Here is a 24,748-nt window from a genome sequence, read left to right as displayed (position 1 = left end):
CCCAGGCGCACCCCCGACAGCCTCGCAGGTCTAAACACGCGTGTCGGGCCCGCGCCTCCTGCGCTCGCCCCGCTGAGCCTGCAGAGCCGCTGTGGGCCGCCCGGTCAGAGCGCACGCGTAATTAGCTGCAGCTAAGCCCGGTGCCCAGCATGTTGGAGCAGGTTGGCATCCTATGTTTAAGATGCACCTGTTTACGATTAGCCGCAATGGGTTCCACAGCCCACGCCTCATTTCTTGGAGGGAAGGAAGAACTTGTTTGAGCAGTGATCACAACCTTTTCTCCCTTCCAATTCCGTGTGCCGTTTCAAACTCGTTCACCTGGTCTGCTTTTAATGTTCTTTTTCTCCAAATCTGCTGTAAACTGATTTATGTAAACTGCTAGGTAAAACTCACGAAATAATTCTTTCTTAACTGTGATAGGACGACGCAGCCTCCCAAGAATATGTTGATGCCAAAACTTCACATCTGTCCTGGACTGTGGACCCCAGAAGTCGTGCAGAGCTGCTGCAGGAGTCTCACAGACCACCCAAGGGGGCACCTCAGCGGTGGCAGACCCACCTTAACGAGTGAGAGCTAAGCTAGAGACAGAACGTGTCTGCCCTCCAGAATTTCCTCATGGATCCAGAGAGGGTAAAACGTTCTCAGAACTCCTCCAGTTAAAGACCTGCTCCCATAGCAACCCAACCTAGGGCGATCTCTGCAGATCCATACAAACCTACCGAGATCTCAGGTTCAGTGCTTGTACTGAGCAAGGGCGTCAGGAAACAGCTGGCCTGTCTCCTTTCTCTCACCTCAGCCGTCCTGTCACTGTTCCCGGACAGCCTATCCGTTCCAGGTTCTCTGCCCCACACTGATTAAGTTCCAAGGTACTCAGATGGGAGTTTGCCATGTTGGCCAATGCTGGGGGATTGTGGGCAGATGAAGGAAAAGATGATGGATCATAAGGCCTTTTTAGATCCCTGAAATTAGTCGCCTGATTCAACAATAGCAATAAGTCCTAAAATTTCATGGAGCAGCAGAGTCATTTGGAAAACTGTCACAGAGAGGCAGTTGCCCAGAGATTCTGCTTGATTGATGTTGGAGCTGGGCTGTGTGCCTTTACAATTCTAACTATACCTGAATTTGAGCATCACTGATTTACAGGTCAGCCAATTCTATCAGGTTTTCCTATGTACCAAGACCCCATGGGATAGGGACTGTACATGAAATTTCTGAGCTTACTTCTCATTCTAGTTACATTCCACTAGGGCCCAACAGTTCATCTACTCAACACATATTTATCGAATGCTTACTGGAATATCAGGGAATATATATATATACATATATATATATGTATGTATATATGTTTTATATACATGTTTATGTGTGTATATATATATGTATGAACTTGTTTGAGCAGTAATTGCAACCTTTTCTCTCTTCTAGTTCCGTGTGCCATTTCAAACTCATTCACCTGGTCTGCTTTTAATGTTCTTTTTCTCCAAGTCTGCTGTAGATATATATATATACACACACACACATATATATACACATACATATACACACACACATTATATATGTTGTATGTATTATATATAACATATGTATTACCTGATGTGTCTCAAAATATAAGTTGCTTGCAATTATAGGAAAATGGTTCAGTTTTCCACATGACTCTGCAATTCCAAAAACTAAAATACCTCCATGTACAACTATTTTGAAGAAATTATAAGTCACCCCTAAGATAAGTTTATTGACAAAAGGAAAAAAAGAGCTTACATCTCAAAATCATATTTATTAAGAACTCAAGGGATACAGAGAATAAAATAATGTACAACTAAATAATATTCATTGAATCCTAGATTTAAGATATTTCCATTTTCTTTTACCAAGGATTTTTTTCTTTCCTCATTTTTTTCATTTCTCAGGTGAACTGCAAAGATTTCTGTTTTTCTTTAACAAGATGAAGGATCTTGATTAATTATGTAATACTGTATTTCCTGAATATGGGCACTGTCTTTTACATATCTAAGAAAATAAAGCTAGAGAGAATTCCAATGCAGAGTGTAGGAAGCTCTGCTGAAGTCTGTTCTGAGGTGTCTCTTAGCTGATGAAAGGATTTTCCTCTGTTCTGGCTGAAGGCATGGCATTCTTCTAGACTTGCATATTCATCACGTTCACCCAAGACTTCCTTTGCTGGTGCCGATCGCAGTGTACATGGAAGGCTCCTGTCTTTGGTGAGAGTTTACTCCAGGCTGTCTCAGCTGCCTCCTGCAGACTTTGTGACTGTTCCGAGGGCTTTAGCTCTGGATTTCTGTGACTCTTTCAGACAGATTCCTTTTATCTCCATTTTGCTCCAAGTTTTGAAATGCCTTTGCCACTTGGGTTATTTCACAGATGCTCAGTGAAGAAGATGGAAAAGGGAATTCAAAAATACAATCTGACCCAAAGTGAAATTGTCAGCTTTTAAAGAAAGAAAGGTGATTCGATGTGCTGTGTGGCATAAACAGAAGTTGAACTTGATGTGGGGCATCTTGAATTTGTTGATCTTAAGCACAAACTGTCCCAAACTAACAATGGAGTAAGCATCCAGAGACTGAGGTTGCCCCATGAATGCTCTGTGACGACCGAAAGCTCCACTTCAGTGCTCTCCAATAGGGAGCCACTCATCACATCAGCTACTGAGCACTTGAGACGTGGCCAATGTGACTGAGGAACTCAATTGTCAGTATTATTTGATATGAATTAATTTGTCTGTAAATTGCCATCTGCAGCTAGTGACCATCCTATTGTATGGCGAAGCTCTAGATCTGGTCTAGAAGGAGTCTGAGGTCCTGTGAAACAGTTGGCACTACGTCAGAATAAAGCATTCTGTCTAGGATATCCTCAGAGTCAGCACCAGCAGCTCAGTTCCACCCCAGCCACTGTGGAGGTGACACGGTGGTGAGCGGCATGTGACCCCTCTTTTTCCTGAGGACAGGAAAGCCCAGCTGTGTGGCTTCCTTGCCTCACCTGAGCAGAACGTGGAAGGTGGATCCCCCACTGTCTCTACTGGGGACCATCAGCCAGAAAAAGTACCCATGCTGGAGAGAATTGGAGTTAAGTCAATCTGGAAGTTATTTTCTACTTATCTATCTAAGAGATTCAAAAACTAGTGTTTCCTCGAGAATGGTGTCATCAAGCACAAGATAATGAGGAAGATTGCCTAATTCAGGAAAAAATATGGAGAAATAAAACCCCACATTGCAATCACATGTAATTGGGTGAAAGCAAAGGCTCCTATTCTCTGCTGATCCACTGACAGATCTCTCGTTTAGATGCTCTGCTTACATTACCTCATTTAAAACCTGCTACAGTAAAATAAGGTACCATGTATGTAGTAAGCATTTACTAAATGCCAGGTACATTGCTAAATGCTTTCTGTGAATAAACTTACTTTTAATTTTCACAACAAACCTAGAAAGTAGTTAATAACTTGGTTTTTTTGTTTGTTTGTTTGTTTACAGTTGAGGAAACAAGCTAAAAAGCATAAGTTGGATTCAAGCCAAACAGGTCTAGTTGCAAAGCCACTAGGAACTCTATCACTTACAATCTTCTACTTTTATTGTCTTAGCCTTATTCACAGAATCTTTTGCCTAACTAAATGAATAGTAACTTATATTCTTGCAACAGCTATAGATATGGATAGATGTAGATCTAGATATATAGCATGCTCATGCTTATGAAAATCTGATTTTAAAATAATAAACATACAAATGGGGGCAAAGGTTTGGAATGACAATTAATTCCTGACTTCATAAAATGCTTCATCACAGGGTTTCATATAGAGGATGCCCAATATCCTATATTCTCTCTCCTTTGGGAAAATTTTTTAAAAATAAATAAATGCCGGGGCTGGGCACAGTGGCTCACGCCTGTAATCCCAGCACTTTGGGAGGCCGAGGCAGGTGGATCACCTGAGATCAGGAGTTCAAGACCAGCCTGGCTAACATGGTGAAACCCTGTCTCTACTAAAATACAAAAATTGGCCTGTAATTCCAGCTACCAGGGAAGCTGGGGCAGGAGAATCACTTGAACCCGGGAAGTGAAGGTTGCAGTGAGCTGAGGTTGCTCCACTGCACGCCAGCCTAGGCAACAGAGTGAGACTCTGTCTCAAAATAAATAAATAAATAAAATAAAATAAGTAAATGTTGGAGAACATACTGACGGAATAGAATGGGTTCTTAATAGATTCTATGGAATTTTTTGGTTATTTCTCCACCATTTTAGAAAAGCTTGTGCCAGTTCTTGATGACAAAGGACACGTGCTTACAACCGATTCTGTGTCTGATGGTCCGGCCCAAGTCTTTCAGGTTGCTCATTTGTGTACACACACTTTCAAATCCCTCCTTCACTCTGCTACTAATTGCTACTACTAGAGTCAGCCTGTCTCCCTACTGATATGGGAGGAATTCTGAATTTCTTTTCATTGCCACAGTTTATTACAACACCTGAGACAGAGCAGGCACCGAATAAATGTTTTGTGAATAAACAAATTTATAGACAATAAGTTAATAGATATAAAATACATTTTAAATTATGACCGACCATAAAGCCAAGCCTGGACAGTTCAGGTGAACGTTCCCGTCCACGTTTCTTTCCAGTGTCTTTCAGGTTGTGCAGGAGAGTCAGAGTCGGTGTGGAGCACGCATCTCCTGGCATGTTTAGCTTAGTTCATGGCCTCAGCGTCATTTCCACACTAGCCTTGCCCTTTGAATAATGACCAGGTGAATGCCGGGCCATGTGCAGTTGTTCTTTTCAAGTTCCTTAATTAAGGCTAGGTTAATATTAGTTCGGAAAAAAATAGGAGCTGACATCAACCTTCCTCTAAGCTTCAAATATTATCTAAAGGAAAATTATAGATATTTTAGTAAAGAAATGAGAGTTCTGCAGGACAGGCACTCCCTTTGAGGGTCCTGGAATGGCAGCATGGGTGCAAGACAGCAGAAGGACAGTGCTAACCAGTGTGCTCTTTCCCCTGACACAGCACACGACCTCCTGGCAGCCTGGGCCCCCTTCTCTGAGGTTCCTGGAGTTGACAGTGCATTCTCATAAACATTTATTAAAGGGAAAAACCCCAAGGGTGGAGGGTGAAGAAATGCATGCCTTAAAACTGGTTTGAAATAAGCAACAAAACTCTACCCTAAGTCATCATGGGAATGCTGCAAAGTTAATGGAAGAGAGGAAGAAGGAAGGAACCGCCTGTGTCTGGGAAACTGGGTGCTATATTTAATATATTAGTGATGGGCCTGACTATGCAGTGGCCTGTCTGTGAAGCTGGCTGACCAGCAAAATTGTTTTGGTTAGCAGAAATTCCGGGAGATGTGAGACATTCCAGATGGTCTCAACGGCCCAGGGCGCGAGGTGGAGTGTGAATGTGAGACGCACCCTGGGCCTTGCACACTCAAGAGGCAGCAGTGCCCTCTTTCCTATGCAAGCCCGAGGGCCATCCTGCTGCCCCTCACTCTGGAGGCACCCAGAGCCGCCCAACCAGTCCTCTGTGGTCTCCTACCCACCAGCTCCCTTCTCCTGACTCACTGGAGAGGCAGAGGGCAGTGCTTGGACAATCTGGTGTCTGACTTAGAATTAGCAAGTCCAGAGCAAAGCAACCTCAGATGAGGCACCCTCTGGACATGAGTGAAGGGCAAGGAAATCACCAAATGATGCAATGATGTCTTCATGAGTTCCAGGCACTTCCAGGAAGGGTGCAAGGGAAATGTGACTGGATTCTAAATACACTAAAGGAACACTCAGTAGTTTATGAGTGAGAGATTCATCATAGAAGTCTGAGTGCTTCTCTAATGCCATATGCGCATAGAAAAGACTATGAGTGTTTCTGTAAGGCCATATTTTCATAGAATATATTGCAAGTGTTTCTGTACTGTCATATATAGAGAATATATGTATTTCTTGCATTCCATGCATGTATATAACACATTGTGTTTTTGTAAAAAAAATTATATATATACAGACACACACACACTTTTCCAGAGTGCATCACATCCAGGTTTTCATTTTACTTTCCATTTGATAATCTGAAACCCACAGAGGCTAACAATTTAGAATAGGTCTCAGTGTTAGACAATAACAAATCTAGGATAGGATTTTACCATCCATTCTTTTCTCAACCACACTACCAAGAGCTTAAGTTACTACACATATTTAGAAAACATCTCCAACCCAAGCTGAGGAGTTTTAGAGTCTAAAAAAAAAAATACATAGTAGCATGTACATGTGTTTATTCATGACACCTCCTAAGACTGAAGTGTTCAAACCACATTGTCAAGAGAACATAGATTCCCATCCAACCCAAACCTCTCCAGTTTCCTCCTCCAGTTCAGGTTTCAGCTCCTTGGGGAGCTGGAAGAGAAAGCAAGCTGGGGATCTGCTCCTTCCTCTCTGATCAACTGCCAGTCATCCTCTGCCCACATCAGCGGCCACAACTGCAGAACCATGAGGCAATGTCACATTTCCTGAACCAACTCAAGACAATGCCTCCACTCCAGGCAGCGGCCTGCCTCCACATGGCCTCCCTCCCTCCTCCCTCCCTCCGTTTTTTCCCTAAGCACTGAGAACTTGCCATATACCAGATATGAGATTAGATGCAGAAATACAGCCATGAATAAAGCAATTATAATCCTTGTATTTGGGGAGTTTCAATGCCAGAGGAATCACATGTAAAAAGATGGTCAGGGCTGGGTACAGTGGCTCATGTCTGTAATATTAGGGCTTTGGGAGGCCAAGGCAGAAGGATGGCTTGAGTCCAGGAGTTTGAGACAAGCCTGGCATCATAGCAAGACCCCCATCACTACAAAAAAATAATTAAAAAAAAATTAGTGGGGTGTGGTGACATGAGCCTGTAGTCCCAGCTACTCAGGAGGCTGAGGTGGGAAGATCGCTTGAGCCTAGAAGATTGAGGCTGCAGTGAGCTGTGTTTGTCCCACTGCACTCCAGCCTGGGCAACAGAGACTCTGTCTCCAAAAAAAAAAAAAAAAAATTGATCAAGTGAACGATGAATCTAAACTGTCATACATTTCATAAAGAAGTATACAGGGCTATGATGGGACTGTGCCCAGGCAGCCTTCCCTGAGGAGGTGATGCAGTGATATGGGAGGGCCTCCCAATGGCCCACAGCCCAGCACCATCCAGCTGACCCCCTGCTCCCTGGGAAACGCCCTCTCTCTGCGCCATCCCTGGTGGTGCCCACTGAGCACCCAGAATGGGACCAGTGTGACAGAAGCACTGGAGTTGTATCTTATTTTGGCTGTTGTGGTGGACAAGGTAGGCTTTGGTGCTCTAGCAGAATAGAAAGAACCAGCTGGAAATGAAACCTGGGGTCTGGGGGATGAGAGAAAGGGCCAAGGGGATGGCCGAGAGGAAAAAGTGGTGTTGGAGCAGCCGTGGGCGTCCCGGTAGAAAGGAGGTCATCATAATTAGGGTGATTTCTGAACAAATTCTTTTCCAAACATCCTGGAAATGAACACTTTTCTGGCACATCTAAAGCCATTTCACTTAAAATGACTTGAGGATTCAACTTGTTCATTGAACAAACTATTGAGTGCTCCTGCGGATCTTGGGCTTGGAGGTGCGAGACCGCCTAAAACAAACACACCCTCTGTTTTCCACACAGACCTTCATATCCATGAAAATACAGGCACACACTTCCCATCACAGCGTGGTGAGATAAATATTATGAAAGGGGAAACTCTTCCTGGAAAAGTGGAAAAGTATTTGTTTACGAAAATGGCAAGCTGTTAAGGTAGTCCTAGCGCAGTTCTAGACAGCCATGCAGCAATCCACTCCAAGAACCTGCTCTGGAGGGGTGGGGGTTCAATGAAGAAAGCAGAGAGGACCCCAGGCATTATGTGTGGGAATATTCAAGACAGTGTTCTTTATTTGGGTGAGCCATTGTGAACAACAGAAAGGTGGTCTTCAGAATCAGGATGCAGATGATTTGATGAGACGGAGCACTATGCAGCCATTCACCATCCGGAACAGTAGCTCACAGGTGCAGGTGCATGGTATCAGCAAGCCTTTATACCCACTAACAGAGTTCATGGAATAGCAATGATGTAACAACAGTTGGAGGAAGGTCCTATTATTCAGTTGCCATTTGATAGAGGACCCGGAAGCTGGCAGCCGGGGGAGTGAGAGCTCAGGCTGCATGATGAAATCATCATGGAACCAGAGATTTGAACGGTTACCCTGTCTCCTCTCATGATTGTAAAAATTATCTAACGGCATGAGGAAATGCTTGTACCATGATGTAAATTTAAAAAGTGGGTACAGAACAACATGATTCCCCTTTTGTAGTTAGACACTTCCTTAACCAGAAGTAAACATTCCAAAATGTGCATCATGGTCTATTATCTTTATGTCATGGGAGCAGTGATTTTGAATTCATTTTTTAATGCTTCTTTTCCTAAATTTTCAATAGTGTTACTTTCACAATCAAAGAAATTAGGAGCACCAAAATTTGTGCAGAAAGGAAGAGAAGTTTATTCAACATTTAATTTTTATTCCTGTGCCCAAACATCCTCTTTGCATGTTAAAGAATTTTTAAACTTTAAAGTAGAATACAAACTTTAGTTATTTTATGACTCACTTTGTGCTTTGATTTCAGTAGGTCTCTTTATCCTTGAGTGCTCTGTAAACCTTTCTCATCCTCTCATCTTGCTGGAGAAGATTGTTTCCTGTCTTTGAGTACATTTTAGAAATAGATATAAAAACCATAAATTATTTCAAAATAATGAATTTATTGAGATTTCTTTATACTTACTTCTCTCTGGTCAAAAGCAGTTTATAAACTAGTTGCTAAAGAATCACTTTCAGAATTGTCTTCCAAAAACCCCTGTGCATTTTCCCCTTGTAAGTGTTTGGCACCAAACCTCAATTCTCCGGAAGTTATTTTGTTCCTTCCAACACATTTTGGAATGTGCAAACTTTAGTCCAGCTAATAAAAAATTTTTTAATAACTTGAATCAACTAAAAAAACCCTCAATTCTCACGCATGTATACTCCCTATCAGATACTGTCATTGCTCACCCTCCCGGCTGAGTCTTGCTGTGTCATGACCTTGAAGAAGGTCGGTTCTGGATGAAGACCCCTGACGTTCCACCCAAGGAGTAGGTGCCATCCACAGCATTGGTCTGGAGCTGCCTGTCATCTGATATCCCCTGGCCCTTATTGCAAATGCTCCTGAAACCTCTCTAGAACCAGTGGCCATCATGCCCCTATTGGTGTCAAACATACCACAGAGTTCTGCAGGTGACAAGAGCGCCAAAATGCCCATGACAAGAGTGCAGAAGGATGCCAGAGGGTGTGGGCCCTGCTCTCCCCACCCTGCCCCTGGGTGCTACTTGTCAGGCTGGTGCTGGTTTCTGCCTGGGCTTGGGGTTGCTCGAGCTACAGCCCTCGGCAAGCACCCTTTGCAGCCAGTGTAGACACCTGGTCACTGCTTCACCATCTTGTTCCTTTCTTTTTCTTCCCCAATATATACAAATTAAATATTTTTGTAACCCAACTTCCAGAGCTGTTTGAAAGGTGGTAAGTGAGCGGGCACGCACATGCATATGTACACATGCACACACATGCACATACACAGAGACCTCACATATCCTTGGGTTGCAAACTCCAAGTCATATGAACTTGGACTCTGGCTCCCTTTTCTTTGCCAAGATTCATATTATTGAGCAAGCGAGAAGAGTTGGGCCAAAACAAATCAAGTGATTCCACAGGCACATTGTGAGGTGCAGAGCTAGCACTTTTGATATTGTGTAATTAAGGCTGTAACAAACATCACACAGGGAATTAGCCTCCAGATTGTGGTAGAAATAAATCTGCTTGGCTTTGAAAAGTTTTCCTTAAAAAGAAATATTTTGTTTCCAGTATCTGTGCAACAGAGAGCAAGCTTGCTGTCCTTGACACAGGAAGTAGATAACACCTGTCAGTAGAATTCAAACCACCTGCTCGGGGGCCTCAGGGAACTGAGCCCACAGCTGGCCTCCGGCTCTCCCCTTACAGGCCGCACCTCAGGCTACAGAGGAGCTTCAGAGTGGGCAAAATCCTTTACATTAAGCACAGAAGACCCCAGCTATATAAATCATCACAAGTTGTGGAAATTCCCCCTGGGATAAAGAAAGGTTATACTCCCATCTTCAGGATTGCATGCTGCCAAATGCAATTTGGTATTTTACAGGCTTCACAAGTCTACACGGTGTCCTTGTTCCCTGTAAAAAAACACAGCAGTAAAACACAAGTCCTAGTACACTGTGTCTGTTCTTCAGAAAGCAAAGCCACTGGAGCCTTTACCCACAGACTCATGGACAAAAGATTAACCGCAAGGCCAGAAGGAACAGCCTCGCCTGGATTTCTCTACTCCGCCATGAGGCTGCTCTGTGTTATTCTTGGGAAAGCCCTTCCTGGCCTAACAAACATCAGTGCTTAGCAGACTTTTGCCATAAGCATTCTTTGTTCTGTTATTTTAAAATATTTAATGAATCCTGGAGTCTGAAGGAGTCAGCAGGCCTGGCACCGGAATCGTACCCCCCACATGCGTTTTTGCCATGGAAACCCTGAGATGCCCTGGGTAATTCACTCCCAAATCTTCTTTTTTTAGAACTTCCGAGATGAAATTTAAATCGGCTATTGACAATCTGAACCTAGCAAGAAAGAAAGTTGGAAACGGAGGTGAATGAACTTAGAGTCAACAGTATATGGACCATCTCACTGGGACAGGGATGGGAGAGGTTATTCCTCATGATCACACTTCCCTTGTTTCTCCTCCTTTATTTGTATCCTAAGAACTACCCCTCTCTTTTCATTAATACATAGAAGAAGGATGTATCATTGCAATTGGGACTACTGCAAAAGGATTCTGGAAATGTGAAATCACCTCCTAAATATAAAGATGAGTGCGTGAGGATTTTTGCTCGCATCATATGAAAAGTGATCCAAGTGTGCAGCAAAGGCTCCTCCTCCCGTCCGTGTATGAATTCTTTGTATATGTGTGCCACATGTCAGGCTGCTTACCGAGAAACGGGTCTTGCTTTCTGAATCACACATGTGGTAGAGGTGCCAACTCTGATGGAAAGAAAACTGGAGAAGCGGCTCACCCAGCCGATGCCTGTGTTCAGGAACAGGGCCTACAGGCCACCGAGTGCCCCCAGTGCAGAGCCAGGTGTGGCTCAGGAGAGGTCCAAAAACCACCTGATTCACAGCTCTCCTGAGTCACAGTCCCTCTGAGGCCCATTACCTGTGCCAAACATGAACGGTCTTCCAAGAGTTTGGGAGGGAAATGGAGAGGAATGTGGCATAGAAGTGAAAGGCCCAATGGCTTTGCAGACTTTCCTCCTGTCCTCAGCCTCTGACTCGTACACACACCCATGCACATATGCACTTGAAGGCACACTTCATTCACACCCAGACGTGGTCCTGGGAGTGCTCGAGGGTCTCTGATCCCAGGATGTGCATGGAATCTCGCCTTTCTCGCGTGCCACAAAGGCTCTGCAGAAGGAGAGTAATGCCGAGACTGGAGGGGAGGCAAAGGGAACCCCACACGCAGCTACACCTTGCCCTCCTCTCTGCTCTCTGCACCCAGCCTGTCCCTCCCACCCACACCCGTGCAGGCCTCTCTCCATCCATCATCTCCTTTCCCTGCTAATCTTCAACCTTTCCTTCACCACCAAAGCTTCTCCTCCACGCAGTAAAGTCCATTAACAGTTAAGACCTTGATGGCAATTCTCACTAACTGAACACTTAATGTAGACCAGGTTCTCAAATAAACACTCCACATGCATTTTCCTCACTGAATCCTGGAGGTGGTTCGATTTCAATGCCCATTTTAGAAATGTGGAAACCGAAGCTTAGAGTTCTGTAATCTGCACAAAACCAGACACAACTCATTGGTGCTGCACAGGCCCCAAGCTGCCTGAGTTCTCAACTCCATGTTCAGCGTTACCCATAAGCATCTCACATCTCAAAACCAAAAGCAGGCTTCCCAGACCAGGCACACTTGGTTCACAGGGAAGCAGCGATTCTCGGCAGGTCTTCTGATCTAGCTCCCTAGGCTTCAGCCTGCTGTCTCCTTCCTCCAGTGGGTTCCTCTAACCTCCCCCTGCCAGGGAGGTCCTTCCACACTTCCTTGGCTCCATCCTCACACCACCCCTCACTGAGCCCACCCATAGGCTGCAGGAATCTGAGAGCCTCGTTCTGTGCCTGCAGTTCTCATGTTCTTCAGGCTGACGTCCACACCTCATGCCACAGCCACCGAATGTCCTTCCTTTCTGCCTTCCAGGAGGATTTACTGAACACCTGCCATGGGCCAGGCGCTATGTTGAGTGCTGGGTGTTGAAAGCTGTCCTCACTGAGCTGGGATCTCGTAGGAAGGAAAGGAATGAACAGATGAAGTGACAGACAGCCCTGCCCCAGAGGATCCGAGCCTGGGGCTCAGAAGAGCCTGCCCTGCTTCCTCATGGTCTGGAGTGGGAGTGAGGGATGGGGTGGGAGTAAAAGGATAACCTGTGTGTTTCTGCTTCTACTGCATCTCATCCTGCAGACCAACTTAAAGATCTGAAATGACATCTGAGCACCTAAATATAAGCTTTCCTGAATTCCCAGTGCTATAATAAACTGCCACATATGCAAGTAACTTGGATTTTAAAATTACATGGAAATTGGAAATTTGACTTTCAAAATCTGCAACTTTTCTTAAAAGCTTTGTTTCCGTTTCCGTGACATATCTGTGAGCTTTTCACGGGGACTACGAAAACAAAGCTTGTGTTTTTAAAGACTTTCCCTTTGTCTGGAGTAAAGCATGATAAGAGAAGACCTGGCCCTAGCTGCAGCCAGGGCTGCCTAGCAGTGAGCGGGCCTGGGCTGCGTCTCAGGAACAAGCGTCCCTCTCCCTCCACTTCTTGTAACTCTTCTCTGTGTCAGAAACAGCAAATGCCCACTCCTTGCGAGCAGCTCGTGCAAACTGAAACTACTCATGGGTCTGACTGCAGGGTAAAGACAGATGGGGCTACATAATCCCAGGGAGGTGCTGTTGCTTAGACTCCCTACATCAGGAGTAGAAAATGCAAGACTCTGCAAAGCTCCCAAACAAGCTGGCATGACACCCCGAGAGAAACGTATGTGATCAATACAAGGACTCTAAAGATTGTGTTTTATAAGTTTTGGGTTGTTTTTGGTTTTGCTTGACTTCCTGGCTTTTATGCTTTAAAAAAGAGAAAGGAGAGAGAGGTGGGGGGTGGGGGATGGCATGCATGTTCTTCCCCTCTCTGTTTCTGCCAGCCTCCTCTTTTGATATTAACTGGAATTAACCCCTTTTCAAACAGTAAGACTTGAAGGAAATGTGATCATGATCCCCCTAATGTGAACCTGTCAGCTGTTCTCAGCTATAAAGAAATAAGCACTGGGCCCTCCATCCCACACGAGTTTGTAAATCATCTCTGCATAAAGGAGGTCAGGTGGTCTCCGTACCCTGTCCCTCCTCCACACTGGGGCCCAGCCTCAGAGGTGAAGATACTGCAGGTATTGTCCAGGGAACACTTACAGGGGAGGGTGGCAGTGAGCAACACCTGCTGGGTGGGCAGATGGAGCCCCCATATATCCTGCCCAGGCAAGTGGTGTCTGGAGTAGACCCCCTGTGGGAAGGTCAGGGAGTGAGGGAGGCCCATTCTCGCCCTCGCCCAGCCCAGCACATGCCTGAAAAACAAAGGACGAGGCCACTGTCCTTACAGACTGACAATGGACAACATTCATCAGAAAACCTGCCTTCCAGGCTCCAAACCCTCTGGGTAGGCTGCACACGTTCCTCATGGCAGTGGTATCCAAAGCACAGCAAGGCATCCCAGGCCCACTGGGACTGGGAGGAGCAGGAGACAGAGGAAGGAAAGGAGACGAAAACCCCATCCTCCAGGCCCGCAGATCTAGGAGGTGACTGTGGAAATGCGCCTTGTTGGAATGAGTACAGAGTTGCATGGGAGAAACTGGTGCCAGCTTTGCCACTTACGGTTTCACATGATAAGGCTCTGGTAGAGGGCGGTGGTGAGGGCAGCAGCCCTAGCTCATGCGCGCTGCGTCCAGGAGCTGTGCTCACTACTTGGCATGCATTCACGCATTCTTCACTTCTCTCAGCTGCCTTTGATGACATTAATCTGGTGATGCCCACCTTGCAGATGAGGAAACAGGTTTTGAAAGATGACACCTGCCCAACCCAGAGAGTAAAGAGCGGGAATACAGGCCCAAGATTCTGTATCATGGACTCTTAACCACCACGTTCTGCCCTTTTCTTTGGGTCTGTCTTTTAATCTGTAAAATAAGATTAATAATACCTACATTACAGGACTATTGTAAGGATTAAATAAATAATATATGTGAAAGCATGCTATAAAATAAAAATTGTCTCTTTGCAAACATTGTTATTATAACTAGAAATCAAGGAAGGATGCAAAAATATTCTTATTTGAAAAGAAGGAAAACCAGAAAGAATAGAGTTTAAAACAGCAACCATCCTTCACCCCACACCTGAAACCTCCTCTCTCTGGGACTTCATCAAATGGGCCTCACCAAAATCAAGGTTTGTTCATCAAATGTCTGATGCTAAAGTTGCTCATCTTAACTCTAAAGTCCATTGTTCGTGGACATCAGGTAGGGCTGTTGATTTTCATTCTTACCAAAGTTGGTTTCTGTCTTCCAGGAGCGCAGCTTCCAGGAGGGTTCCCATTTGCTCCACTGCTCTGTCTTAGGAATTTTAAAATCCTATAATTTTATTCTCACTTGAGCTCTAGACTTTCATCATGTAGTTCAAATGAACTTAGAGCCTGAGCACATTTAATTTCTCTCCCAATAAGTCTATTCAACAAGCACAATGAAGAGTCTAAAAAAAGAATTCATTTTTACCATGGAGTACACAGAAGTAAGATACCCAGTCATGTTTTTTTTTTTTTTTTTTTTTTGGATGGAGTCATTTTTACCATGGGGTACACAGAAGTGAGATACCCAGTCATGTCTTTTTTTTTTTTTTTTTTTTTTTTTTGGATGGAGTCTTGCTCTGTCACCCAGGTTGGAGTATAATGGTGCGATCTCAGCTCACTGCAACCTCTGCCTCCCCTGTTCAAGCCATTCTCCCTGCCTCAGACTCCCAAGTAGCTGGGACTACAGGCATGTACCACCACTCCTGGCTAATTTTTGTACTTTTAGTAGAGATGAGGTTTCACCATGTTGGCCAGGCTGGTCTAGAACTCCTGACCTCAGGTGATCCACCCACCTCAGCCTCCCAAAGTGTTGGGATGATAGGCGTGAGCCATCATGCCTAGCCCCCAGTCATGTCTTGCATACAAAAATCCACATAACTCCACATCTGGCAAGTCCAGCTGTGCAACCTGCAGTCAGTGCACGTCTGCACACCATTCCCAATGAAATGATGCATTTCCCAGTTCCAGCATGAGAAGATGCACCAAAGTTTGCCTCACTACTGTCAAGAGGAAATAATGGCCTTTCACTTATGGTTACTCTGAAAAATGCATTTTATTCTTTGTCAAAATCTTAGCTCCCTCGTGTGTATTTCCTCTATTTCTCTGTTTCTCTGCCCAACAGGAAATGCTCCTACAAAAACCTTTCCGAGGCAAGCACACTGGTCCTACAGTCGGGGGACCTGGGATCCAGCCTCACTCTGCCATCCACCCACTGCATGACCTCAGCACAAGGGAGTGTTTTCAGGCCTCACTTTCTTATCTCCAAATGAGGAGCAGGAGGAGATTCTTTAAGCTTTACCCCAGTTCTGAATATCAGTGACTTCCCAGAGCCACAGAAATGCCATCCCAGCTCCTCAGAGCTTGCGCCTCTTGTCTCCTGGCACTTCTGCCTTGTCGGATTAAGAACAGAGCCGCTTGGGGCTGCAGAGCTGGACATTCCACCAGTGTCCAGCTGGACAGTGAAGGATCCCAGAGCCACAAGAAATCCAGCTGACATTTCCCAGGGAGATAAGCCAGAGGGCGGGGGCCGGGAGCCTTCCAAGTGCAGGACATGCAGACACATTTTCACAACACTCTAGAATGTTCCCAATCACTCAAAAGATAAAAAACATGAAAATCTTGAAGAGTCTGAATTCCTACTTAACGTTATCAAGATGAATCACTTAAATACAAAGGGGTAATTTAGCAACTTTAGAGAGGATTTTGCTCTTTCTTAAGCCCCAGCGGTTTCCAGGGTTTTTTTCTTAGGTTACTGTCTGCAGGAAAGATGTAACAATTCTCTTTTCAAAAAGTACTTTTGCTACCAATTAGCCCATAATTAAACAGCCCCTAGGCCACAGTTTCTGGACTTCCATTAGAATGAAAAACACTCTCTTAAGGCAACAGGTATCTAATTATTGATGTTTTAAAATGAAAACTGTTCTTCATTTCTCTGTAATTCCCCCAACTCCCTCTATTACTTACAACCAGAGGGATGTTAATCATTTGTCAAGTATCTGTAGGCAGGGAAGAACTGGCTTTCCTTAGAGTAGCATGCTGTCAAAAAGACAGCCTGGGTTTCACGTCCCTATAATCTGTATCATGGTATGCAGATTACTGTGACACAGATACAGATATGGAAACTATATATATATATATACACACACACACATATACACACACACGTTTCATCATAAAGGCTGAAACCTTTGTCACTTGTTAAGATATTAACGCAACGTCTTAAGAAGGTGGTTCATTGACAAAAACATTTCTCTGGGCTTGAATTTTGCAGAAAGAAACATTGCAGGAAGTTTTTAAATTGCATTAATTACTCATGAACTTAAATACCCATGAACTTTCAGATCTCTGTACTCATGGTCAATCCGCTAGTGAGACAGGGCCCACGTAGGAGGTTTGAGCCAAAACAACAACAAAAGTGCCTGATTCTGGAAGACTCCATCTCCAACCAACTTACACATTCCATGTTACACAATCATCTTACACATTCATGTGTCTTCAGAGACCCTAGAAACTGCCAGGAAGAAGTATCAGAATGTCATCCTCATCACCACTAGCTTCATGGCAGCTGACATTTATGGAACACTTATAAGCCAAATCCAATACTAAGTGCTGTGTGTGTGTGTGTGTGTGTGTGTGTGTGTGTGTGTACATATATATGTATACATATATACACTCATTTAATCTTTATTTAAAAATCCTGTTGGGCAGGTTCTCTGGTTACTCCCTGTTAAAAGATGAGGAAACTGAGTCTTACTGTGGAGAAAACACCAAAGTTCACTCAGGTAGGAATGGGTGGAGTCAGGTTGGACCCACACAGACAGGTTTCAGAGCCTGAGAACTATACTGTTCTGTCTCTGTGTGCTACCCTGTCTGTGCCTGCAGTGTGGTGTCAATTCCAGGAAACACAGGGCCCAGGGACTCAGGGGACATAAAGGCTTAAGGACACATGGCTTCAGGTTCACCTGATGATATTCCAAGAGTCTCTGCATGCAGGTGACATAACCCAACTCAAACTAGTACCCACAAGAGGGGAGGCTAATCAGCTCCCACCGTGGGGTCAAAGTCGGTTCCTAGACACCACAGCCCTTATACTTAGTAATGCCAACGAGAAGAGAGGACCCCCCACCACCAGCAACTTGAGAAGATTCCTAGCATGTATTGGCCACAAGCAGATTTTATGTGCATCCCCAAACTAAATATTGTGACAAGGTAGATGAACTGTGGTGATGGGGGAGGTCTGAGGTTGTGATCTCCCCAAAGTGAAGTGTCCCCAAAGAAAATGAGGTGGGAAAAGTTTGGCTCTCCATAGGAAACTGGGAAGGCTTTCACCCCACGGTGGAGCAGGCAGAATGTTCACAGGAAAAGAGATGTTTATTACAGTGGACTCAGTAACAGGGAGGTCAACCTTATAGGAGACGCCTAAGAATGCCTGGGAATCTGGGGCTTTTAACAAAAAAAAGTGCTTTCTATTTTTAAATACTTTTCATAGTTTTGGGCCTTTATCGTGTAGAAAATTCCAGAGTATCTTACATAATTTGTAAATAAGGGCAACCAAACTTTACATAATAATGAAATTGAGATTATCTTAAAGAATCATCAGCCCACACAAATGATTTCTGCCCTAAGTGGAAGAACTGTAGAATCAGTGAAACACACCAGTGAGTGCTGTATATACAAGGGGGAGTCTCAATAAATGCTAGTGTCTGATTTATATATTGAATAAACAAGATTTACATCTTAGTCCATTCACTGTATCATAAATTCTTACTAATTTTTCATGAGCCAGCGAGTGTATATTTACAAGTAAGACATAATATGATTGTAAAGCTCCATTACATCAACATTTACATTTTATGGACTTCAAAACGATAGCATGCTGTCCCATTCTCATATAAGACTCGGAACTCTGTTCCATAATTCAGTTCTGCAACATTTAATGCAGGCCTATTAGGTGCATGTGACAGGTGTTTGTGACAAAACAAAACAAAACATAACAAAACAAAAACAAAAACAAATAAACACCATCCCTGTTCCTGTTGGCAGGGAAGACAAATATGTTAACGTATCTCCTGTTGTAAGTGCCATGATAAAGGTAAGCAAGTGCACTCTGGAAGCTCACATAGGGGTTACTTGACTCAATTTTAACCAATAAGGAATTTAGCTAGAAAGGGTGGGGAGTGGTTTCAAGCAAGGGAAATACCAAGAGCAAAAGTAAGGAAGCATGAGGTGGCACAATGTGTTCAGGGAAACAACAGCAGTTTGATCCTAGACAGCACACTGTCTGACAGAAATCTAATGTGAGTCACAAATAGAAGCTGCTAGTATAACTTAAAACATTTCTAATAGCCACACTAAAATTAAAAATTTCTAGTAGCTGTACTAAAATTGAAAAACAGCTGAAATCAACTTTAAAGTATATCTTATTTAACCACATAGATTCAAAATGTTGCCATTTCATCATGATACCAATATAAAAATTACTAAGGAGGCATTTGACAGTCTTTTTTTCAAATAGCAAGTCTTCAAAACCCACTATGTGTTTTAGACTCGTGGCACATCTCAGTTTGGACTGGCCCCCATTCCAGTGCTCAGCAGCCACTGTGGCTGATGGCTCCTGTATTGGACAGCACCGTTCTAGAGCAACAAGTATGAGGTGGGGAGTGTCTAAACACAGCTCGGGAGGTAAGCAGGCAGTCAAACAAAATCCTTCAAGTACCTCATTGTGGAGGTCATGGGAAGCAATGAGGGCTGCATCACTTTGAGAACTGAGTGAAGGATGGATTGCAAGAGAACAAAACGGGGGGGTGGATGGCTACAGGGTCCTGCTAGATTTGAAAAAGGGTGAAATTAGGGCCAATGGTAGTAGAACTGGGAAGACACAAACATTGGGGACAAAATGTCTGCAGGATTTTGGTGAATTCAATGTGAGAAAGAAGGTGTGAGGCATGAGTTGAAGATGTCTTCCTGGTTAAGAGCCAAAAGATGGGGGCTACAGGAAAACAACTGATTGGCACACTCACATCATTCTCCCTTACATCACATGCAGCCCCCGGTGCATGTAGGTTGGCTCTGGTGTGGGTCTTGACCAAGAGAGGAAGGCCTGGCATGAATGAACACCCAAGGTTATTTCCATGGGTACTGCCAGAGCTTTGGAGGTTCTCAATGCAGCCAAGACCTCTAGTAGACAAGGACTCTTCCCAAATATGGTATTCACATTTGAGAAAAAAGTGTAGAATAAGATGTTAAGCTTGGTTGGGAGGTATTGATGCCCCTATCAAAAGGGTGGCATAACCATGACATCCAGAAGCTTCTAGCTCGCCAGGTGGTCACAGTGTCAGTATTAGCAATCCAGCTCCTGGTCTGCGATGAAAGAGAGCACCTACATATGCAGCAGTGTTAAAAACAGTCATCCTCTGAAAACCTGCAGCTCTGGGACTTTTCAACATCACCACAAGGTACGTTTCATGGAATAAGCAAAAAGCTGCAGGGTCAATTACACCCAGGCACCCCCAGGTCACAGCAATGCCCAAGGGGAGCTCTATCCAGCTATCCCCAGACAGGGCTATTGCAACATTAAAGGGAGAATTCCCGAGCTATAGAAGCAACTGGTCACATAGGATTTGAAGCAGCATTGAAGAGCATGGCACGGACTGACAGGTTACATGGGAAACCGATGTTTTAGATAGATAGGAACTTAGAAAATTCTAAAGTAGGGATTGGAAGGCATTCTTCATTATTCTTTTGACTGATAGCTCAAATCTTAGGGGAACAGTAAATACTTGGCATTGGGAACTCAGTGAATGTCAATGTGGGCTTGAAGTGAATGCTGCTAGACCGATAAGTTGCTCAGCTGCAAGGGTCAAGTGATGTGCACTTGCTGGGCTCAGGCTCAGGATGAGCAGCAATGGGCAAAGCGAAGGGTGAGTTCCTTGCCCTATCCTTAGGTGCTCACTCAAAAAGCACATTAGAAAGTGAAGTAGGAGACCAGAAGAATGGAATATGGCTTGTGTTCAATCTGGGGAAATCCACCACCTCACAAGGATAGAAGCATTGCAGGTCAGCTTTCCAACATGGCACACATATTTGTGCATCAAGGAATAGTAGAGCCTTGGCTCCTCTGTGAGGGTTTTAAATAACTCACTCCCCCAGATTTTATTTTGAGAAGACTTCATTCATTAAAATAAGAAAAGGGGGAATATTGAAGGAATTTCCTAGAGCAAAACTTTCAACGGAAGAAACATAAATAATGGTCTAGCACAGGAATACTCTCTTCATCATTCAGGGCTCCAGAGCACAGGAAGAATCTCATCATCATTCAGGGCTCCAGAGAAATACAATGTATTTATTCTCTTCTGAATCAAGAACCCTTGTCATTTGCTCCTTTACACAAATCCCCAGTGTTACAAAGGATACTGGAACTCCATGTGCCTCTCTGCCTGTGTGGACATAAACCACAGAATACAAGGAATCCACCAAGCCTAGCTTTCCCCCTTTCTTTCTTTTTCATCCAAGACACACTTACCTATTGCTGACCTCATAAATGCTAAAAATAGTCATGTAGCTTCTCCCCTCAAACGTGGTTTGATGAAATCCATGAGGAGTTCATGTCAACGTTTCAGACTCTGAAACATATCAGGGTTATTTTAAGTGGCAATGAACAAATCCCAAATTATATCCTAGGATTCAGACACTTATTCATCTTTATCCAAATATTTTGAGCTGAAACTCACATAAAATAAGATTATCCACCAGAAATTCTAATACTTCAGTGAAGGGGTTGGAGGAATAAAGGTGCTGACCTAAGTAACTTTTAAAACAAATGAAGTTTATGAAAAAAGAAAAGTAGGTTTGCAGAGACCAATGAAAAAATAATAATAAATGAAGTTTGTAAGTGTAAAGGCAAAATAAATTGTCCATAAGCACTTTACTTTGATTAATAACATTGTTCCCATGGGGTCGTGTGCTAACAATTCTGATACTGTATAGAGGTACACAGGAACTGAACAATGAAACAAATGCATGTCAGATGGTGGGAACCTGTTTTTCACTGTTGGAGGGGAGAGGTTACAAGTAAGCAAAGGGACAAGGCTAGAAATGTCCACGGGGTAATGGATGAAAGTGGAGACATCTGGATGAAGAAACTCCTGTTTCATTAAATACATATTTATTAGATAGATAGATAGATAACAGACATACAATTATGTATAGATAAGTGTATATACAGTGGTTACAGTACACACACGTATCTTCTTGCTCTGTAGGCTGAGAAGACCCAGAAGCAAAGGCACCACAATAGCAATAAGCACACCCAGCACCCAGATCTTGGTTTTTAGCACTATTGCCCAAGGAAAGGAATCAGAACTCGCTGGAGAAACTAATTCAAAGACTGGAACAGGGAATGTGAAAGGTGCTGCCAGATGTATCCACTAGACAAAGTTGGAATAAAGTCGAGCAACAAAATAAAATAATACTGGATCATGAGAGAGAAGAGACAAATATGTGCAAAATAATTCTAAATAATTTATGCAGTCATTTCACCCTGAAGGAGGTGAGCCTAACTCCCCACTCCTTAAATGTGGGCTGTACACAGTCACCTCATTCCAAAGAGCATGGGAGGGGAGTGGGTAGCTTCACAGAGGAAACACCTGACCAGCACTACCACAGCCAGGTGACCAAGGTCCACATCAGCAGTGATGAATCATGTTCATGGTATGTAACCTTTGCATGATGTGATGGAAGTGGCAGTTTATCTCTGTGCAGAAAACCCACAACACCGATCGAATCATGAGAAAAACATTTGACAAATCCCAATAGCAGGACATTCTACAAAATACCTGACCAGCTTTCTTCAAAGTTGCTAAGCTCATCAAAAACAAGCAAAGTCTGAGGAATTGTCATGGCAAATGGGAGCCTAGGGAGACAAAATGACTAAATGTAACATAGGTACCGGGACAGAAAGAGCCCATAAGGCAAAAACAAGGAAATCTATATAGACTTGTTAATAGGAATGTGTCAATATTGGTTCTTTAATTATACTAAATGTACCACACAAATGTAAGATGTTAATAATAGGGGAAATTGGGTATGGAGTATATTGGATTTCTCTGTACTATATTTGCAACTTTCTATACATGTAAAACTATTCTAAAGTTGAAAGTTTACTTTTAAAAATAAGAAATGAAACAAGAAAAAGGGTGATTTTAAATGAACTTTCTAGGCATGGTTCACATTTTGGGTAAAGCCTTCATCTGCTCTTATGGAACTTATACCAACATGCAACTGGATAAATCATAAAGCAAAGAGGTTTATTTAGCTCATGGTTCTGCAGGCTGGGAAGTCCAAGATTAGGCAGCCAATCTGGTGAGGGCCCCGTGCTACTTCAACTCATGGTGGAAGGCAGAAGAAAAAAGGTGTTTGTGAAAAAGACTAAACAGGAGAGGCAGCCTTGCCTTATAACTCACTCTCTCAGGAACAAATCCACTCCTGCCAGCATCAATCAATTCATAAGGGATCTAGCCCCAGAAACCAAACTCCTCCACTGGGCCCCACCTCTCCACTTCACTGCGTTGAGGACCAAACCTCAACATGAGTTTTGGTGGGGACAGACCATATTTAAGCCATAGCAGTACACAAACACATGATCACATGCTAGGAAAGAAGATGCCCATCTCTACTTAGAATTCTCCAAAAAGTGGCAGGACCGTGACTGCTATGGGAGACAAGAGCAGTGATCAGAGGGTGCAGAGTCCTGTACTCTGAGAGCAAAGGAGAGTGTTCTATGCTAGTTGTGTAGCAATAAACATTCCAGCTGTATTTTTGCACATGCCTTCCTTATCACAAACCCAGGGCTAGCTTTTGGTTTCAAAAATATGCATACAAAGCTATAAATATTTATTTGCACTAGGGAGAAAAATTCTGATATCTGTTTTGTACTAATTTAAAAATATGTCCACAATGCTTTGACACTCCATCCTACAGGAGGTGGAATCTAATTCTGCTCTTTTTGAGGGTGGGCTAGGCTTAGTGGCTCACTTTGAATGACTTGAATAAAGCAGATGTGATGGTGACTGACATCACAGACTGGGTCATAAAAGGTATGGTGGTCTCTCTCTTCTGGGTCACTCATTCTGGGGGAAGTTAATCTCCCTGTCTAGAGGTCACTGTGAAGCCTGTGGAAAGGAACTGAGACCTCCAGCTGTCAGCCGCATAAGTGAGCCTTCTGGGAAGCAGCCCCCAGCCTCAGGGAAGCCTTCAGAAGGTACAGGCCCTGCTGACACCTTGCCTGCAGTCTCATGAGGGGGGTCCTGAGCGAGAGCCTCCTACCCAAGACACTCGTGAATTCCTTACCCTTAGACACTGTGAGATCATCCATTTTTCTTGTTTTAAGCCAGCACATTTTGGGGCAATTTGTTAGGCAGCAATGGATGACTAATACATGAAGCTACATGGATGGAACATGTGAACTTAGAAGGGGATGGATCAGAGATTGCCTGAGTCTGGCTTTTTTCTCCCACCTGTGTAGAAAGCCTGAAGTAATCCCCATTCTGACTAAAGATAATTGGGACAGCAGAGTAAGTGAAGCAGAATTGGTCAGGTACAATGCCTGAAAATTTGGAAGGAAAAATGGTAGCTTGCATAACTCAAAGCAAATTAGTATCTACAAAATATATATCAGGATTTTATTGAAGCGTATAACAAATATTTAAAAAACAACCCTGTGAGAAAACTGAATAATTGGTGATGGTAGTATATTTGGCAATCTTATGAAACGATCTGAATAGATAAGAATAATGTGTAGGAAACGAGAATGTTTAAGTTTAATAAGAACAGATGAGAGTTCTGTATTGGGGTTTTTAAAAAAACCAAGTTTTTTGTTTGTTTGTTTTTGTTTGTTTGTTTTTTGAGACGGCGTCTCGCTCTGTCACCCAGGCTGGAGTGCAGTGGCGCGATCTCGGCTCACTGCAAGCTCCGCCTCCAGGGTTCACGCCATTCTCCTGCCTCAGCCTCCCGAGTAGCTGGGACTACAGGCGCCCGCCACCACGCCCGGCCAATTTTTTTCTATTTTTAGTAGAGACAGGGTTTCTCCGTGTTAGCCAGGATGGTCTCGATCTCCTGACCTCGTGATCCACCCGCCTCGGCCTCCAAGAGTGCTGGGATTATAGGCGTGAGACACCGCGCCCGCCCTAAAAACACCAACAATTTAAATGCAAGTTTGGGAAACCAGGTTGTTTGCCAGAAGTTCATGAGCAAAA

At 43.8% G+C, this 24,748-nt stretch overlaps 1 long non-coding RNA gene across 1 annotated transcript in view, besides 2 other annotated features; it reads right to left on the bottom strand.

The window, feature by feature from the left end:
• Nucleotides 1–24,748, bottom strand: part of LOC101929268 (uncharacterized) — a 146,944-nt gene that overhangs the window by 38,915 nt on the left and 83,281 nt on the right. The gene's annotated exons all lie outside the window — the stretch shown is intronic.
• Nucleotides 13,237–13,737: an enhancer, noted in NCBI's record as "H3K4me1 hESC enhancer chr8:49558419-49558919 (GRCh37/hg19 assembly coordinates)". NCBI's record gives its function as "activates a minimal SCP1, AML or CMV promoter by ChIP-STARR-seq in primed H9 embryonic stem cells {active_cell/tissue: H9 hESC(primed)}" and the evidence as "EXISTENCE:reporter gene assay evidence [ECO:0000049][PMID:30033119]".
• Nucleotides 21,580–22,779: an enhancer, noted in NCBI's record as "BRD4-independent group 4 enhancer chr8:49549377-49550576 (GRCh37/hg19 assembly coordinates)". NCBI's record gives its function as "activates an origin of replication core promoter dependent on BRD2, P300/CBP, MED14 and CDK7 cofactors, and independent of BRD4, by STARR-seq in HCT116 cells {active_cell/tissue: HCT116}" and the evidence as "EXISTENCE:reporter gene assay evidence [ECO:0000049][PMID:35650434]".

Source organism: Homo sapiens, chromosome 8, assembly GCF_000001405.40.
Source record: "Homo sapiens chromosome 8, GRCh38.p14 Primary Assembly".
Taxonomy (NCBI): Eukaryota; Metazoa; Chordata; class Mammalia; order Primates; family Hominidae; genus Homo; species Homo sapiens.
Note: the sequence above shows the minus strand (reverse complement) of the source record. Positions and strands in the feature narration are given on the sequence as shown.